This window comes from Homo sapiens, chromosome 7, assembly GCF_000001405.40.
Source record: "Homo sapiens chromosome 7, GRCh38.p14 Primary Assembly".
Lineage (NCBI taxonomy): Eukaryota > Metazoa > Chordata > Mammalia > Primates > Hominidae > Homo > Homo sapiens.
The window spans coordinates 76,953,362-76,971,322 of record NC_000007.14 but is presented as its reverse complement, the minus strand read 5'-3'; the positions used below and the strand labels follow the sequence as shown (position 1 = coordinate 76,971,322).

General features: G+C 49.3%; 2 pseudogenes, besides 3 other annotated features; one reads left to right on the top strand and one right to left on the bottom strand.

The window, feature by feature from the left end:
* Positions 1 to 11,555, bottom strand: part of DTX2P1 (DTX2 pseudogene 1) — a 44,590-nt pseudogene extending 33,035 nt beyond the window's left edge.
* On the top strand, positions 2,013 to 3,187 carry FDPSP7 (farnesyl diphosphate synthase pseudogene 7; annotated as a pseudogene).
* Positions 13,596 to 14,460: an enhancer, noted in NCBI's record as "H3K27ac hESC enhancer chr7:76586180-76587044 (GRCh37/hg19 assembly coordinates)". NCBI's record gives its function as "activates a minimal SCP1, AML or CMV promoter by ChIP-STARR-seq in primed H9 embryonic stem cells {active_cell/tissue: H9 hESC(primed)}" and the evidence as "EXISTENCE:reporter gene assay evidence [ECO:0000049][PMID:30033119]".
* Positions 16,024 to 16,224: a silencer, noted in NCBI's record as "peak6614 fragment used in MPRA reporter construct". NCBI's record gives its function as "represses an SCP1 promoter by STARR-seq MPRAs in K562 erythroleukemia cells {active_cell/tissue: K562}" and the evidence as "EXISTENCE:reporter gene assay evidence [ECO:0000049][PMID:32103011]".
* Positions 16,192 to 17,058: an enhancer, noted in NCBI's record as "H3K27ac-H3K4me1 hESC enhancer chr7:76583582-76584448 (GRCh37/hg19 assembly coordinates)". NCBI's record gives its function as "activates a minimal SCP1, AML or CMV promoter by ChIP-STARR-seq in primed H9 embryonic stem cells {active_cell/tissue: H9 hESC(primed)}" and the evidence as "EXISTENCE:reporter gene assay evidence [ECO:0000049][PMID:30033119]".

The following is a 17,961-nucleotide window of genomic DNA, read 5'->3' as shown; positions in this document are numbered from 1 at the left end:
AAAGACCTGGGAGAGTCAAATCCTGACACAAACATATCAAAGAAATGTTCTACTTTACTAGAAATTTTGTTTAAAACATACAAGTTAAAATCAGCGGCTGAGCATGGTGGCTCACACCTATAATCTTAGCTACTCGGGAGGTGGAGGGAAGAGGATCGCTTGAGGCCAGGAGGTCAAGACCAGCCTGGGCAACACAGAGAGACCCCCATCTCTATTTATTAAAAAAAACGGAAAAGCAAACAATTTGGTAATATATGTATCAAGAGGTTTAAAAATGTTCACTTCCTTTGATCCAATAATTAAGACTCTAACTTCAGAAAATTATAGAAAAATGTTGACGTGAAGCTATTCACTACAGCACTGTCTCTATTACATAAAACAGAAGCATAGGGCAAACTCCATAGAAGTCAATAAAATGTTAACAGCTGTCTTTGAGTGGAGAAACGATAGAAGACCTTTTTTTTTCTTTTTTTTTTTAAACTTGCTTCTTTTCTTCTTCATATATAGGAGACGTTTTGTTTGACTTCCTTATATATCTGAACTTTTCACATTTTCTAAAGTGAGAAAGTATTACTTCTATTATCAGAAAAAAACTCTCCTGGCCAGGTGCAGTGGCTCATGCCTGTAATCCCCAGCACTTTGGAAGGCTGAGGGGGGCGGATCATCTGAGGTCAGGAGTATGAGACCAGCCTGGCCAACATGGTGAAATCCCGTCTCTACTAAAAATACAAAAATTAGCTGGGCATGGTGGCATGCACCTGTAATCCCAGCTACCTGGGAGGCTGAGGCAGGAGAATCCCCTGAACCCAGGAGGCGGAGGTTGCAGTGAGCCGAGAACTGCACCATTGCACTCCAGCCTGGGCAACATGAGCCTCAAAAAACAAAACAAAAAACAAACCTCCCTGAAAATGCCAAACACTTTTAAAAGGTCATAAATATAAACCAAACCACCACCACCGCTGTGTCTTACCATTATTACTTTAAATGGCTGCTGCTATCCCAGTGTAGTTTCACTAACATCAGGCCCTGTCAACTTACCATGGCACCTCCCTGACAACAGACACATCCCCCCATCCCCGAGCTCCACAAAAATGGAAGAACAAACCATCCATGTTCCTATGACAGTAGTCCTGTGAGCACGGCGAGATGCGGCTTTGCTTGAAAAGGGATCACTCAGGCCAGTGCCTCCCACATCTTACTGGAAGATGGCACGAAACTAGCATGTGATTTGTCTCTTGCACAGTGGGTGGCCGGAAGGGAAGTGACAACTCTTCTGGCTGGGGCCTCCAGGGATAGGTCAGAGCAGAACCTTCCAAAGGGCACCCATGGTGCCGGCCCCAGTAACCTACAATTCCCTTGTGGTCAACCAGCTTCTCCAGAACCAAGAACCCACTGGCTCCTGGGTAGCCAAGAGCAATCTGACCACCTGCAGCCAGTCAGAAGGTGGAGCCCTGGTTTACGGGCCTACCCAGAGGGCAAAGTAGGGGAGTAATAGGGGCAGCAGTGGATGTGTAATGGTAACAGTAATAGCAGGCCTGGTGCAGTGGCTCACACCTTGTGATCCCAGCACTTTGACTGGCTGAGGCAGAAGGACTGCTTTGAGCCTAGGGGTTCAAAGTTGCAGTGAGCTATGATCGTGCCACTACACTCCAACCTGGGCAACAGAGCGAGACCCTGTCTCTTTAAACAAAAATAAATAACAGCCAAGCAGGAACCCGCATCCAGGAACACAGCCCTTTGCTCCTCCCTCAGAATGAATGGAAACCAGGCTGGGCGCGGTGGCTCACACCTGTAATCCCAGCACTTTGGGAGGCCAAGGCGGGCGGATCACGAGGTCAGGAGATCGAGACCATCGTGGCTAACATGGTGAAACCCTGTCTCTACTAAAAATACAAAAAATTAGCCGGGCGCGGTGGCGGGTGCCTGTAGTCCCGGCTACTTGGGAGGCTGAGGCAGGAGAATGGCGTGAACCCAGGAAGTGGAGTTTGCAGTGAGCCAAGATCGCGCCACTGCACTCCAGCCTGGGCGACAGAGCAAGACTCCGTCTCAAAAAAAAAAAAAAAAAAAGACCGAATGGAAACCAGAAATCAGATATTTATGCCCAAGAAAAGCAGGATTTCGTTCAGCACTACTCCCAGATCGTTAGGGTGCTGACTGAGGATGAGATGGGGCACCCAGAGACAGGAGATGCTACTGCCCGGCTCAAGGAGGTCCTGGAGTACAATGCCATTGGAGGCAAGTATCACCGAGGTTTGATGGTGCTAGTAGCGTTCCGGGAGCTGGTGGAGCCGAGGAAACTGGATGCTGATAGTCTCCAGTGGGCACCGACTGTGGGCTGGTATGCGCAACTGCTGCAAGCTTTCTTCCTGGTGGCAGATGACATTATGGATTCATCCCTTACCTGCCAGGGACAGATCTCCTGGTATCAGAAGCTGGGCATGGGTTTGGATGCCATCAATGATGCTATCCTTCTGGAAGCATGTATCTACTGCCTGCTGAAGCTGTATTGCCGGGAGCAGCCCTATTACCTGAACCTGATGGAGCTCTTCCAGCAGAATTCTTATCAGACTGAGATTGGGCAGACCCTCGACCTCATCACAACCCCCCAGGGCAATGTGGATCTTCGCAGATGCACCGAAAAAAGGCACAAATCTGTTGTCAAGTACAAGACAGCTTTCTACTCCTTCTACCTTCCTGTAGCTGCAGCCATGTACATGTCAAGAATGGATGACAAGAAGGAGCACACCAGTGCCAAGAAGATCCTGCTGGAGATTCAAGAGTTCTTTCAGATTCAGGATGATTACCTTGACTTCTTTGGGGACCCCAGTGTGACTGGCAGAGTTGGCAATGACTTCCAGGACAACAAATGCAGCTGGCTGGTGGTTCAGTGTCTGCTACAGGCCACTCCAGAACAGTACCAGATCCTGAAGGAAAATTACAGGCAGAAGGAGGCCGAGAAGGTGGCCCGGGTGAAGGCACTATACGAGGAGCTGGATCTGCCAGCCGTGTTCTTGCAGTATGAGAAAGACAGTTACAGCCACGTTATGGGTCTCATCGAATAGTACGCAGAGCCCCTGCCCCCAGCCATCTTTCTGGGGCTTGGGCACAAAATCTACAAGTGGAAAAAGTGACCTAGAGACTGCAAGGGCGGGGAGAGAAGGCTCTCAATAAGTAAATTATTGTGTAAAATAAATAAATAAATGAATAACAGCAATGGCTACCAGGTAAAGGTTTACCAGGCACCAGGCACCGTGCTAAGCCCCTCCACCTGACTAGTAATTCTCGTTGGTCCTCACAACTGGGGAAGCGGGATATTTCCATACCACAACTGAGAAAAGTGAGTCACCAGAAGACATGCAGCTTGCCCAAGGATATCCAGGGGCTGAGAAAACCCAAATCTGTTTCCAGAGTTCCTGTCTTTCCCACCAAGACAGACTGACGACGGACAAACTGGCCTGTAGATGTGTTTTGCTTGGGTTACTAAGGTTTGGCTTTTAAAAACTGAGCTGATGTTTAAAAATTGGAATATTTGGCCGGGCTCAGTGGCTCACACCTGTAATCCCAGCACTTTGGGAGGCCGAGGCAGGCAGATCATGAGGTCAGGAGAGCGAGACCATCCTGGCTAATGCAGTGAAACCCTGTCTCTACTAAAAAATACAAAAAATTAGCCAAGTGTGGTGGCGAGCGCCTGTAGTCCCAGTTACTCGGGAGGCTGAAGCAGGAGAATTGCTTGAACCTAAGACGTGGAGGTTGCAGTGAGCCAAGATTATGCCACTGCACTCCAGCTTGGGCGACAGAGTGAGAATCTGTCTCAAAAAAAAGGAATATTCACAGTAAAAAAAAAAAAAAAAATCTAGATTTCAAGCTTCCCTTGAAAATCAGAAAAGATGGCAATATTTGCAGGCTGGACCTAGATCCATGATCTACCTAGCAACACCAGCTAAACTGCAATGGTGGCTGGAACGTCCTCTCTGGGTGGCCACAGCTACCACGACTCCCTATGGCTAGGGCCAGCATGCTTTTCCTGTAAAGGACAGAAAAAGTCTTTCCAGTGACTCTGCCACTAGACCACAAGAACAGCCATAAACAATGTGTAAACAGGAGGGGTTGCATACCAATATAACTTTATGAACAAAATCAGGCAGTGGGGCTGAATGCGGTAGCTCACGCCTGTAATCCCAGCACTTCGGGAGGCCGAGGTGGGTGGATCATTTGAGGCCAGGAGTTTGAGACCAGCCTGGCCAATACAGTGAAACCCCGTATCTACCAAAAAAATACAAAGATGAGCCAGGCGTAGTGGCGTGCACCTGTAGTCCCAGCTACTTGGGAGGCTGGGGCAGGAGAATCACTTGAACCCAGGAGGCGGAGGCTGCAGTGAGCCGAGACTGTGCCACTGTACTCCAGCCTGGGCAGGAGTTAGACCCTGCCTCAAAAAAAAAAAAAAAAAAAAAATGCTGGGCGTGGTGGCTCACGCCTATAATCCCAGCACTTTGGGAGGCCAAGCGGGGGTGGATCACCTGAGGTCAGGAGTTCGAGACCAGCCTGGCCAACATGGTGAAACCTTGTCTCTACTAAAAATACAAAAATTAGCCAGGCATGGTGGCTGGTGCCTGTAATCCCAGCTACTCAGGAGGCTGAGGCAGGAGAATTTCTTGAACCTGGGAGGCGGAGGCTGCAGTGAGCTGAGATCGTGCCATTGCACTCCAGCCTGGCAACAGAGTGAGACTCCATCTCAAAAAAAAAAAAAAAAAAAAAAAAAAAAAAATGGCAGTGGGCCAGATTTGGCTGAGGGTCCATCGTTTGCAGACCTCTGCCCTGTGGCCTCCCTCACATCTATTACTGTACTTTCACACTCCTACAGTTGAGCAATACTTCTCTGAACTCATGTCTCTATCAAAAAGTGAGAGAGTGCTCTGCCTCTGGCTAGCTTTGCCAACAACACGCCCTGCCCTCTGCAGACATGTCAGCCTTTGCCCAACACCTAAGGGTGAAATACAGCATCCAACAGCACAGCAGGCAGCATGCCAACAGCACCCGCCCCTGGGAAGTCCCAGGTGCTCCCCAGAGCCACACCAGGCGTTGATAACATTCTCTGCATCCGGGAATCAGGCCCTGGCCTCCCTCTCCCCTCCTCCCCTCCTCTCTCCATTCCGCCCGGATCCTCAGGATCTGTTCCCATGGCTTCAATATTCCCTTGCATACAGATCACCCAAAGCTGTCCTCGGGATGCCCTGCCCGAGCCCCTCAAACCATCAGCTCCTGCCATCTGGACCTCCTGGCAGCGCCCAGGGCAGGTCAGGATGTTTCATGCCCTTCGTCCCCCACTGAGAATGCCCATCGCACTTGTCCACTTACTCATCTCTTAATTCCTAGCTCAAGACTCTGCCCTGTGAGATCTTTCCTAAGTTCGCTCCCGCTCCACAGGCAGAAGTGGCCACTTCTAACAATCAATGCCCACATGACGTCTCAGTGCCATTATCTGTCTCCTCCACTGGAGAATGCATACGCTCCTTAAAGGCAAGGGTTATGTTCAGGAAAAGACTTCAAACCAGACCCAGAAAACTGAGTACTAGGGAAAAAATACATTTCGCTATGTTAAAATGAAGAATGGCTGATCAACAGAAGACACCTTAAAGAAAGAGGAATAATAGGTTAAAAGCTGGGAGAAGATATTTGCAATAGACACGAAGGATTAAAATCAGCAATATATAAAGAGCCCTATAGATCAACAAAAAATAAAGCACCAAGAACCCTAATGAAAAACTGGCAAAAGACATGAATATTTCACAGGAAACACATATGCCAATAAACATAAGAGGAGATATTCAGCAGCAGGGCTCAGGGACCTAGAAACCAAGTTCCCAAAGATTCCATTTTCTACCCATTCACTTGGCCAACAGCAAATGTTGGTAAGACTGTGGAGCTGCAAGACACAGGACACTGCTGGTAAAGTGGATACTGGTATAAGCACTTCATTCAGGAAATGGTCTAGCAATAGCTACGAAAGATGAACACTGCCGAGCATGGTGGCTCATGTCTATCATCCCAGCACTTTGGGAGGCCAAGGCGGGTGAATTGCTTGAGCCCAGGAGTTCAACACCAGCCTGGGCAACACAGTGAAGCTGCCTCTGCACAAACTTTAAAAATTAGCTAAGCATGGTAGCCTGTGCCTGTAGTCCCAGCTATTCAGGAGGCTGAAGGGGATGGATCCATTGAACCCAGGAATTTGGGGCGGCAGTGATCCGTGATCATGCCACTGCACTCCAGCTGCCTGGGTTACAAGGCGAGACACTGTCTCTAAAAAAAGAAAGAAATAGGCCAGGCGTGGTGCCTCACGCCTGTAATCCCAGCACTTTGGGAGGCCGAGGCGGGTGGATCACCTGAGGTCAGGAGTTTGAGACCAGTCTGACTAACATGGAGAAACTCTGTCTCTACTAAAAATACAAAATTAGCCGGGCATGGTGGCGCATGCCTGTAATCCTAGCTACTCCAGAGTCTGAGGCAGGAGAATCGGGAGTAGCTTGAACCCGGGAGGCGGAGGTTGCAGTGAGCCGAGATCGTGCCATTGCACTCCAGCCTAGGTAATAAGAGTGAAACTCTGCCTCAAAGAAAAAAAAAAAAGAGACAGAGAAACAAAGAAATACACATGTAAGATAAAACTAAGAAAAAAAATGAAAGAAAGGAGATAATGATTACCTCAGGGTAAGAACAGAAAACAAGTTCAAATGAAATGATTAGATGTTCTAAGGGGACCTGATAAAGTAGAAAACTTTTTAAAGTTTTTTAAAATTAAAAAAAAAAGATTAGATATATACTTTTGTTTCATGATCCCAGCTTTTGTTTTGGGTGCCTAGATTGCCAGAACTTACTACATTTATTAAAAATAACTTACTAAATAAGGAAAAGTAGGTCAGGCATGAACACTGAGGAGTGTGTACTAATCAATCTTGTTCTCAGCTTAGCTGATAAGGCAAACACCAAAGAGACTGCTGAATTCATCTTTGTACTCCAAGTGCCAAACACAAGCCTCGGCGCACAGAATTTCGGGAGGCATTTGGGGAATGAATCAGGGCTCTTCTCTCTAGCCCATGGCCTCATTTCCTGTTGGCCTCTTAATACCTTCAACACGTCTGAGGCCAAACGCATCTTCCTTCCTCATTCTCCTTTTCCCCCTGGATTTCCCCCAGGCGGCCAAGAGAAAAACCTCAGATTCTCAGTCCTCCGCAGCCCGCTCCCCCAGGCCTAGCAGCTGCCTGCCCTGCTCTCTCCTCACCTCTGAAGCCCCCTGCTAACACCTGGCCGGGACCCTTATGCCTCTCACTTTACCCCCTCCCTGCCGGGCGCAGTGGCTCACGCCTGTAATCCCAGCACTTTGGGAGGCCTCGGTGGGTGCATCACCTGAGGTCAGGAGTTCGACACCAGCCTGGCCAACAGAGGGAAACCCCGTCTCTACTAAAAATACAAAAATTAGCCAGGCATGGTGGCAGGTGCTTGTAGTCCTACCTACTTGGGAAGCTGAGGCAGGAGAATCACTTGAACCCGGGAGGTGGAGGTTGCAGTGAGCCAGGATGGCGCCACTGCACTCCAGCCTGGGTAACAGAGCGAGACTCCATCTCAAAAAAACAAAACAAAACAAAAAAACAAATAAGTGCTCCCTCCCAAACAGCTTCTCCAACTCTGCTTTCTAACCCTCTTGTACATCTCAGATGGGGGGGCAGAAAAGATTAAGCTTCCTGAACTAACGTTCTGATCCTGTCTTTTACACACCTCCCCTGGATCTCTAGAATGAAATTCAAATTCCTTAGGCTGACAGTCAAAGCCGATCACAATACCGCCCTTCCCTCGCTATCAACAATATTTGCCGGTGCCCTTCCCTTCCATCCCCTCATCTATACCTCCCTCTCCACAATTCCCTTCCAGAGTGTAAATGAGGATCCACTACTCCCATGTGCATCAGCGTGTCTGTCCCGACCCCCATGACTCTGCTCCACCCTGAATCCCACCCACTTGGTCCCCTGTCCTCACCTTACCCACCCTTTTATGGCCCAATTTAAACAGCACTTCCCACGATGCCTGGACGTGCCCAGCAGAAAGCAAACACCCTCTAAATCAGCCAGGCATGATGGTGTGCACCTGTAAGTCCAGCTACTCGGGAAGCTGAGGCACAAGACCCTCTTGAGCCTGGGAGGTGAAGTTGAGCAGTGAGCTGAGATTGCACCACCGCTCTCCAGCCTGGGTGACAGAGTAAGACCCTGTCTCAAAAAGTAAACAAACAAAACAAAACAACAACAACAAAAAGAATGAAAGAAAACACCCTCTTAGCAAGTTCCTTTTCAGTTCTCTATGTCCACTTTATCTCTTCAACTAGACTATAAGCAACTGAGGGCAAAACCACTCACCTGCCTCTCCCCACGAAGAAGCTGGCATGATGTAAGAAGACCGCCACAAAGCGAATAATCCAGTCTAAACCCATTCCACATGTTCCAGTGTGCTCCTTTAAAATGTCCCTCACGAGGCCAGGCACGGTGGCTCAGGCCTGTAATCCTAGCACTTTGGGAGGCTGGGATGGGAGGATCCCTTGAGGCCAGGAGTTAGAGACCAGCCTGGACAACGTAGAGCGGCACTGTCTCTAGATAAAATTATTAGTCGGGTATGGTGGTAGGCACCTCAGCTACCCCAGAGCCCAGGAATTTGAGGCTGTGGTGAACTATGATCACTCCACTGCACTCCAGCCTGGGCAGCAGAAGCAGACCCCAACTCAAAAAAATAATTAATAAAATGACCCTCATGGAAATCTCCTAAAATCCTTCCACTCCCGAGTCTTGGCATGGCCCACATAACCCTCCTCGCTCAGAGCCCTCTGCCTGCTTTTCCAGCCTCCTCTATTACATACTCAGCTACTTACAGTAGCCCAGCTGTGTCCCGGTAGCTTCATGACTTTGCAAACGCTGACTCCTCTCCCAGGCGACTGTGCCCCACTTTCTAAGTCCTACTCCTCCTTCACAACCCCCCTCAACTACCACCTTCCAGAAGCCTTCCTGACCTTCCCTCTAACCGTCCCCTTTCTGGATGTGGGTAGGAGAGCCTTGTGATTTCTCCCAGCTCAGTATATATCACACTGACAACACCTTGTCACTGACTCTGCTTTGTCTTTTCCACCAAACAATGCACTCCCAAAAGACAGAGATCTTATCTGGCACCCAGTAAGGGTTTATGCAACAAAAGAAATGAAAACTGCCACTTCAAATGCAGAAATCGTGACTTGTGTCTTCTATCCCATAAAGCATGTCTTAAAGTGGAAAGCATCTTCTAAGACTAGTTAGTTAAACAGGAGAAGCAGTGGCAAGACGCCACTGCAATTTATTTGAGACAGGTGGCAATCAACAGTCAACTCCCAGGGCACACGTTTATCCTGCAGACCTCAAATTCCACCCTCCCCAATCCCCACCTTCTCTGCACCAGACAGAGAAGGCAGCAAGGTCAAGTCCCCATGGCTCTCACCTTTTCTCTCTGGAGAGCTGGCACAAACTGTCCCTTCTGGATGAAGACACCAGCTCCTTAGGAGGAATGACTTGTTTGAGTTCCCATCTTGATACAAACCACAAACAACAAAAACCGGGCAAATCTGAAAGGCTTGCTGACTCAGCGACACAAATTCCAAGGCACCTTTGCCAACGAGGAAGAAGATGATCAGGTTTTAAATTAAGAAACAGCAGTTAGTAAAAACAAAGGTACAGATGTTGGATCCGTGTGCTGTGCCTGGGGACTGAAAATCACCAGATTTATTTTCCAATAGCCTGGGTGGAGCACGAGGTACAACAGTCTTCCTCCACCCACTTAACAATCAAGGAGATGGTTGAAGAAACAACAAAAAGCAAACAAACAAAAAAACCCTGAGCTCTTTTTAAAATTTTTTATTATTATTAGTTTTTGGAGACGGAGTCTTGCTCTGTCACCCAAGCTGGAGTGCAGTGGCGTGATCTCGGCTCACTGCAGCCTCCGCCTCCCAGGTTCAAGCTACTCTCCTGCCTCAGCTTCCCGAGTAGCTGGGATTATAGGCTCGAGTCACCACGCCTGGCTCTGAGCCCTTTTCTTAAAAAAAAAAAAAGTTCGTTTTTTTAGTTTGTTTGTTTTTTGTTTTTTGAGACGGGGTCTCCCTCTGTCGCCCATGCTGCAGTGCAGTGGTGTGATCACAGCTCACTGCAGCCTCCAACTCCTGGGCTCAAGCGATCCTCCTGCCTCAGCCTCCCAAGTAGCTGGGACTACAGGCACCCACCAACACGCCCATCTGATTTTTTATAGAGACAGTGATCTCAGGAATCCTCTTCGTTTCCCAGGCTTGTCTCAAATTCCTGGACTCAAATGATCCTTCCACCTCGGCCTCCCAAAGGGCTGGGATTACAGGCATGAGCCACCGTGCCTGGCCTGAGCCCTTTTACAGAAAACTCTAAAAGGACTTCATAAGCCAGTCTGGCAGCTAAGCATCCAGGAAATCAACACACCAGAGAGGGTAAATATTTAAGGTCACAGAGCAACCGAATCAGAGGGCTTGCTATCCGGATGGCTTAAGCCCGGATGGTGGCTACCAGAAAGTCTACCTTCTAGAGCGCTAGAGGAGCTAGGAAGGCATGCAGAAATATTCTGAGTTTCTCAAGGGTCCAGGCGTCTGTACACATGCTATTTATTTCCATCGCTGTTGGCGCTTAGAGAAGTGGAGCCAGCTTGGAGGAGGAGGGCAGCTGGCTGAGACAGTCGCGATGAAAGCGCAGCTCCAGAAAAGGGAACCGAGTTCTAAATCTTTTTCGGCACCCCTTACGCACCCCAAAAAGTGACCCAGGGCCCCAGGAACTCCTGGGAAGACCCCCCACAGGAAAGCAGGGAAGCAGAGTTAGGAAGCAAACTCCTCCAAAGTACAACCCCCGGCCCAGTGAGTCCCTTCACCTGGGGGTAGACCCCAGCAGGACCAACCCCTCGTCAGGGAGCCGGTGGCAATCTCGTCACCCCCTCCTCTGGGTACTTTGGGAAGGGGTGCGCGCCTTCCGAGCGACCCGGAACCGCGCCCCTCCGCCTGCGAGCCCCTCAGCCTTCATCCGAACGTCCCCTTTCGCACCCGGCACCCTGTCCCGTCCAAAGCTGCCGGCGCCTCCCAAGTCCCCCAACTCTCGCCCTCAGGACCTTGATCCCGGAGACCGATCCCCCCGACACCCCCGATCTCCCGGGACCCCCGGGTGTCCCCGCCGCCCCGGCCGTCGGTCCCCCTCACACCCACGCCCGCCCCCTTCCGGTCCCAGCTAGGCTCCGGCTCCCCGCGCCCCCCCGCGCCCCTGGGACCGCAGCCCTAGCGACGCGCAGGTGGCCTTCCCGCCCTCTCACCGAGGCTGAGGAGGACAAGAGGACGGGGCTGAGGGCACCACCGCGCTCGGGCTGCAGCTCCGGCTCGGCCTGGGCAGGGCTCTGGCTGTGGCTCCGACTCTCAGGAGAAGGCAGCCAGAGTGAAACTCGGCGTCGCAGCTTCCGAGCGAGCCGCTGCGCATGCCCGGGGCGTGCGGCCTTCTGGGAAATGTAGTCCCGGTAGGGCCCAGGGGCGGGCAGAAGGCGGGGCTCAGCGGGGAAGGGCTCAACCCAAGGCGCACCTGCTCCGGTCTATGTTTTCTTCCTTCGCCTGCTCACTCATTGACTTATTCCTTCATTAATTACTGACTTAATTTTAACTAGTTTTTACTAGTACATACATGGTGCCAGTACATACATGTGCTACTGTTTCTCTTTTTTTGTTTTTAAAATTAATTTTATTTTTCTTTTTTGTACAGATGGGGGTTTTGCAATGCTGCAACGTTGCTCAGGCCGATCTCAAACTCCTGGCCTCAAGCGATCCTCTTGCTTCATTCAGCCTCCCAAAGCACTGGGGTTGCAAGTGTGAGCCATCGAGCACAACCTTTTTAAATTTAAATTTTTGTCTTTTTCTTTTCTTTTTTTCTCTCTTTCTTTCCTATTTATTTTTAATATTTATTTATTTATTTAGCTACTGTGTAGTGGGAGTGCGGGAGTGAATAGGTGAATCAGAAATGGTTTCTTGGCTGGGCGCAGTGGCTCATGCCTGTAATCCCTGCACTTTGAGAGGCAGAGGTGGGCGGATCACCTGAGGTCGGGAGTTCCAGACCAGCCTGGCCATCATGGCGAAACCCCGTCTCTACTAAAAATACCAAAAAAAAACTAGCCGGGCGTGGTGGCTCGTGCCTGTAATCCCAGCTACTCGGGAGGCTGAGGCAAGAGAATCGCTTAAACCCGGGAGGCAGAGGCTGTAGTGAGCCAAGATCGCGCCATTGCACTCCAGCCTGGGCGACGGAACAGGAATCCCTCTCAAAAGAAAAAAAAAAAAAGACGAAGAAGAAGAAAAAAGAAAAAGAAAAGGTTTCTCGCCGGGAGCGGTGGCTCACGCCTGTAATCCCAGCACTTTGGGAGGCCGAGGCAGCCAGATCACAAGGTCAAGAGATTGAGACCATCCTGGCCAACATGGTGAAACCCCGTCTCTACTAAAAATACAAAAATTAACTGGGTGTGGAGGCCGGGCGCAGTGGCTCACGCCTGTAATCCCAGCACTCTGGGAGGCCGAGGCGGGCGGATCACGAGGGCAGGAGATCGAGACCACTGTGAAACCCCGTCTCTACTAAAATTACAAAAAAAAAAAAAAAAAAAATTAGCCGGGCGTAGTGGTGGGCTCCTGTAGTCCCAGCTACTCGGGAGGCTGAGGCAGGAGAATGGCGTGAACCCGGGAGGCGGAGCTTGCAGTGAGCCGGGATTGTGCCACTGCACTCCAGCCTGGGTGACAGAGCGAGACTCCGTCTCAAAAACAAAAAAAAAAAATAATAATAATAATAATTAACTGGGTGTGGTGGCGCGTGCCTGTAATCCCAGCTACTTGGAAGACTGAGGCAAGAGAATCACTTGAACCCTGGAGGTGGAGGTTGCACTGAGCCAAGATTGTGCCACTGCACTCCAGCCTGGACGACACAGTGGGAATCTGTCTCAAAAAAAAAAAAAAAAAAAGAAAGAAAAGAAAAGAAAAGAAAGAAAGAAGAAAAGAAAAGGATTTCTTTCCTGGGAAAGCTTTGTATCTAGTTGGAAAGTCCGGCACTTAAACACACAATTACGATATAGTGGGGAAAATGTTTGGATAAAGGAGGGCATAGAAGGGTATGCCTAACTTGAGGGTGGGGAGAAGACATCACAAGACAGATAAAGGCTATGTGGGTTTTTCAGTCCATAGAGAAATTTGCCAGTTGGAGCATAGGGAAGCTCTTGTAAAGCAAGAGAGATGTGAAAGTGCCTCATGCACTCCGGAGGCAGCACAAAGTTCCTGGTGGCCAGGGCAGAGGACACATGGAGGGAAGGGAGTGAGGAAGGAGAAAATGCACTAGGCTATAGCAGGATCTGAGGAGTATGGGGAGAAGCCGGGGTAAGATTATGATGAATTTTAGATAATGTGAGTGTTTGCACATGTGTGCACATACTATGTATGTTGAATATTATGTATACAGTTTCAGGGGGATCAAGGTCCTCTGAATCTTGGAGGACCAAGTACCCAGTTAAAGATACTTACCTGGAATGACATTATCCTAAGGTCATTGATCCTTTATCAGGGATTTTTATTTTCCTTTTTTTTTTTTTTTTTTGAGACGAGTTTTGCTCTTGTTGTCCAGGCTGGAGTGAAATGGCACAATCTCGGCTCACTGCAACCTCCGCCTCCCAGGTTCAAGTGATTCTCCTGCCTCACCTCCCGAGTAGCTGGGATTACAGGCATGCACCACCACACTCAGCTAATTTTTGTATATATATATATTTTTGAGATGGAGTCTTGCTCTGTCGCCCAGGCTGGAGTGCAATGGCACAATCTCAGCTCACTGCAAACTCCGCCTCCCAGGTTCAAGCAATTCTTCCTCAGCCTGCCGAGTAACTGTGATTACAGGCGGATGCCACCATGCCCAGCTAATTTTTGTATTTTAGTAGAGACAGGGTTTCACCATGTTGGCCAGGCTGGTCTTGAACTCCTGACCTCGTGATCTGCCCACCTCGGTCTCCCAAAGTACTGGGATTACAGATGTGAGCCACCGCATCCGGGCTAATTTTTGTATTTTTAGTAGAGACAGAGTTTCACCATGTCAGCCAGGCTGATCTCAAACTCCTGACCTCAGGTAATCTGCCCACTGCAGCCTTCCAAAGTGCTGGGATTACAGGTGAGGGCCACCGCATCCGGCCAGAGTTCCATTTTTAAAATCTGAAAAGACGGACTATTTTTATTTGGGAAAAATAAAGAGTTCTGGTTGTGAAAAGAAGTAAAATAGGACAGTATCAAGAGGGAGAGTGGGGGGCATGGACTTTTGTATTTTAGACAGGAGAGAGAAGAGTGTGCTGACTTCTGAAATTGCAGCAGGATGTCTGCCCCCTGGGAACCTGGAAATGAGGGAAACAGCCTTGGCCACTTGCAAAGTGAACTTTAAACTAATATACGTAGCAAAGGGCCAGAGACAAAAGAACTGCCTGGTAGGAGGGGGCTGGTTAAATAACCCCGGAACACTAGGTAGCCCTAGAAGGAATGAGGAAGACTCACAGTGGCCTAGATCTATTGTTAAACCAAAAAGGAACTTTGAGCCAGGCAAGGCGGCTCATGCCTATAATCCCAGCACTTTGGGAGGCGGAGGCAGGTGGATCACCTGAGATCAGGAGTTCAAGACCAGTCTGGCCAACATGGTGAAACCTCGTCTCTACTAAAAATACAAAAATTAGCTGGGTGCAGCGGTGCACACCTGTAATCCACCTACTCGGGAGGCTGAGGCAGGAGAATCGCTTGAATCTGGGAGGCAGAGGGTGTAGTGAGCCAAAATTGCACCATTGCACTAGCCTGGGTGACAGACTGAGACTCGGTCTGAAAAAAAGAAAAAAAAGGAACGTTCAAAATAGAGGGTAGAGAATATGAGAATATGCACCCATTTGTGTTTTTTAAACAATTGCATACAATAAACGGGCTTACAGACGAAGAAAGTTTCTGGGAAGAGACCCAAGAAGCCCCAGAAGGTAGGGGGATAAGCTGAAGAATTGTTAAAGATTTTATTTATTTATTTTTTGAGACAGTGTCTCCCAGGCTGGAGTACAGTGGCGTGATCATAGCTCACTGCAGCCTCGACCTCCTGGGTTCAAGTGATCTTCCTGCCTCAGCCTCCTGAGTAGCTGGGACTACAAGCGTGCACCACCATGCCAGGCTGATTTTTGTATTTTCTGTCAAGATAGGGTCTCACCATATTGCCCAAGTTGGTCTCAAACTCCTGGGCTCACACATTCCTCTTGCCTCAGCCTCCTAAAGTGCTGAGATTACAGGCATGAGCCACCACGCCTGACTGAATTTTTAAAGATTTAGAGAGGGCTGTCAGCTGGGCGCAGTGGCTCATGCCTCTAATCCCAGCACTTTGGGAGGCCAAGGTGGGAGGATCACATAAGGTCAGGAGTTTGGCCAACATGGGGAAACCCCGTCTCCACTAAAAATACAAAAATTAGCCAGGCGTGGTGGCATGCGCCTGTAATCCCAGCTACTGGGGAGGCTGAGGGAGGAGAATCTCTTGAACCCAGGGGGCAGAGGTTGCAGTGAGCCGAGATCGTGCCATTGCACTCCAGCCTGGGCAACAGAGTGAGACTCTGTCTTTAAAATAAAATAAAATAAAATAAAATAGGGCTCTCTCCTCTCTGGCAGTACCCCCACTCCCCACAACATACACAGTAGGGCAGTTTGCCACTTGCGTTCTTGCATAAAGGTCCACAGCCTAAGGGGCAGTGGCAGGAGCAGCGGCAGGAAATATTCCTGGCAGGGGTTCTTTGTCTGAAATTTTCCGCCTAGAGATGGTGTCTTTTTTTTTTTTTTTTTGAACTCCTCAAAGGCTGGGGTTTGTTCAACACACCCAAGGGGCCACCAGTGCTCTGAAGCAACTGAAAATGAATGACGTGGCCCAAGAAAGAATGTGACTGTTGGCCACAAAATGGGGAGTGGTGTTGAGCAAAGAAATTTAAACTCTAATACCCATAATCCCAGCACCTGGCTAGGTCCAAGTGGGAGGATCGCTTGAGCTCAGAAGTTTAAGACCAGCCTGGGTGACAAGACAAGACCCCATCTCTACAAAAAATAAAAAAATTAGCTGGGTGTGGTGGGACACCCCTGTGGTCCCAGCTACTTGGGAGACTGAGGCAGGAGGATCACTTGAGCCCAGGGGGTCCAGGCTGCAGTGAGCTATGACGACACCACTGCATTCCAGCCTGGGTGACAGGGTGACATCTTGTCTCTTAAAAAAAAAAGGGCCGGGTGCGGTGTCTCATGCCTGTAATCCTAGCACTTTGGGAGGCCGAGGCGGGCGGATCACAAGGTCAGGAGATCAAGACCATCCTGGCTAACATGGAGAAACCCCGTCTCTACTAAAAATACAAAAATAAAATAAAATAAAATTAGCCGGGCATGGTGGCGGGCGCCTGTAGTCCCAGCTACTTGGGAGGCTGAGGCAGGAGAATGGCGTGAACCCGGGAGGCAGAGCTTGCAGTGAGCCGAGATTGCGCCACTGCACTCCAGCCTGGGCAACAGAGTGAGACTCTGTCTCAAATAAAAAAAAAAAAAAAAAAGGACAACACGTGGGGGTGGGGTATGGGTAGAGGGTATTTGCAAACTGTTAGAACTTTTCAGATGAATGAACGGCGAGCACACGTACCTTATTTTAGATTTGCCACAAGGGAACCAGTGAAAAGGGTGAGCCTTTTCTTTTGTTTTTGAGATGGGGTTTCACTCTTCTTGCCCAAGCTAGAGTGCAATGGTATGATCCCGGCTCACTGCAACTTCCACCTCCCATATTCAAGTGATTCTCCTGCCTCAGCCTCCCAAGTAGCTGAGACTACAGGCGTGTCCCACCATGCCTGGCTAATTTTTGTATTTTTAGTAGAGATGGGTTTCGCCATGTTGGCCAGGCTGGTCTTGAACTTCTGACCTCAGGTGATCCGCCTGCCTCAGCCTCCCAAAGTGCAGGGATTACAGGCGTGAGTCACCTGCCCAGATGGGTGAGCCCTTTCAAAACATGTTCCAAGGGGCTGGGACTTACATAAGATAATTATTTGGGGAAGACTGGTTTACTCCTCAGGGCTGTAAAGCCATCTTTTTTTTTTTTTTTTTTTTTTTGAGACAGAGTCTCTCTGTGTCGCCAAGGCTGGAGTGCAGTGGCATGATCTTGGCTCACTGCAACCTCTGCCTCCTAGATTTAAGCGATTCTCCTGCCTCAGCCTACTGAGTAGCTGGGATTACAGGCGCCCGCCACCACGTCCGGCTAATTTTTTTTTTTTTGTATTTTTAATAGAGATGGGGTTTCACCATGTTGGCTGCAAAGCTATCTTGCTTTTCTTTGTTGTGCAGGTCACACCTGGGTCCTGAGCTGGCGCCATCACCGGAGACGCCAGGTGATGTCCATTCATCAGAAATAATGAGCAAAGCAGCTGTGGCTTCTAATCAGCCCATCCCTCCAGGGTGTCAGATGGAGGCCAATTAGTGGACGCACTAGACAACCAAATTCTGCCTTTCCAAGCAAAACATCAGAAAATGTTCTAGCCCTTAGCATTGATGCTGGAACCCAGTGTCTTGCTTCTGCTTGGGTTTTCATGATCTTTCCTTGCTCTGGGTGAGCTGGGGGCTGGTTCTAGATCAGAACCTTCAGAGGCACTAAGAAATGCCACCTGGAGTGGAGTTAAAGAAGTTATTTTTTTTTTTTAACTTCTACTATTGTCAGAGGCGGGTGAACCAGAGCAACTCCATTTTGAATAGGGGCTGGATAAAATGAGGCTGAGACCTATTGGGCTGCATTCCCAGATGGTAAAGGCATTCTAAGTCACAGGATGAGATGGGAGGTTGGCACAAGATACAGGTCATAAAGACCTTGCTGATAA